Source organism: Homo sapiens, chromosome X, assembly GCF_000001405.40.
Source record: "Homo sapiens chromosome X, GRCh38.p14 Primary Assembly".
Classification (NCBI taxonomy): domain Eukaryota; kingdom Metazoa; phylum Chordata; class Mammalia; order Primates; family Hominidae; genus Homo; species Homo sapiens.
The window spans coordinates 74,545,603-74,547,037 of record NC_000023.11 but is presented as its reverse complement, the minus strand read 5'-3'; positions in this window follow the sequence as shown (position 1 = coordinate 74,547,037).

Genomic DNA, 1,435 nt, shown 5'->3' with positions numbered 1-1,435 from the left:
CAAGGCCAGTCAAAGCTGGTCATGGCTGGTCAAGACAGGCCAAATCCAGCATGGTTGATCAAAGCCAGTCATGGCTGGCCAAGGCTGGTCATGGCTGGTCAAGATAGGCCAAAGCCAGTCACAGTTGGTCAAGGCCAGTCATAGCCAACCAAAGCTGGTCACAGGTAGCAAAGGCCAATCACAGTTGTTTAAGACCAGCCACGGCTGGTTAAAACTGGTCCAGGCCAGTCAAAGCCAGTCACAGCCAGTAAATACAGGACAAAGCTGGACACAGCTGGTCTAAGCCGATCAAAATCAGCCAATTCTGGCCAAAGCCAGTCATGACCAGTCAAAGCCAGTCACATGTGGTCAAGACCAGTCATGGCTGGTAAAAACTGGTCAATTCTAGTCAAAGCCAGTTATGGCTCATGAAGGCCAGTCACGACCAGTCAAAGCTGGTCATGGCCAGTGTAAGCCAGTCAAAATTGGTTAAGCTCTGTTATGACTGGTCACAGCTGGTCACAGCTGGTCTAAGCTGATCAAAACCAGTCAATTGTAATCAAAGCTGGTCACAGCCAGTCATGGCCAATCAAGACAAGCCATGGCTGGTTAAAAACTGTTCAGGCTGGTAAAAGCCAGTCACAGTAGTCACGACTGGCAGAGACCAGCCAAAGCTGGTCATGGCTGGTCTAAGCCAGTCAAAACTGGTTAAGGCCAGTTACAACTGGTTAAGGCTGGTCACAGCTGGTTAAAACTGGTCCAGGGCATCAAAGCCAGTCAAAGCCAGTGAAGACTGATCAAATCTAGCCACAGCTGGTCAAGACAAGCCAAAGCTAGTCATGGCTGGTCAAGGATGGTCACAGTAGGTCCAAGCCAGTTACAGCTGGTCAGGGCCAGTCAAGACCAGTTAAGGCCAGTCAGAGCTGGTCACAGTCAGTCTGCCAGTTGTGGATGATCAAGACCAGTCAAAGTCAGTCATGAATTGTCAAGATCAGTAATGGCCAGACATAGCCTGTCATGACTTATTACTGGTGGAGTTGGAGTCAGGGTTGTGATTAGAGTCTGGTTTAGGGTTTAGCATTAGGATTAGAGCTGGGGTTGGTGTTGGGGTTAGGCTTAGGGTTAAGAATAGGGTTAGGACTAGGGCTAGATCTAGGGCTAAGGTTAGGATTAGGGAGGGAAACCTTCTGTCTCATGGTATGATCTGGCATAGATTATATGGTATTAAAATAGACTGCTTCTTGGAAATGTACAAAAAAATCACCAATAAATAGTTTGATCCCAAATAAATAAAGGAAAAATGTATAAAGATAGCTTTTCTCTTTTCTTTCAGTTTGTTTTTCTACAAAATTGATGGATATATCATGGATTGCCCTAATTGTCCAAGAATATAGAGAAAATAAAAACCTAACAAACTAAACACAATGCCCATTGCATTATTTATTCATCAAACATT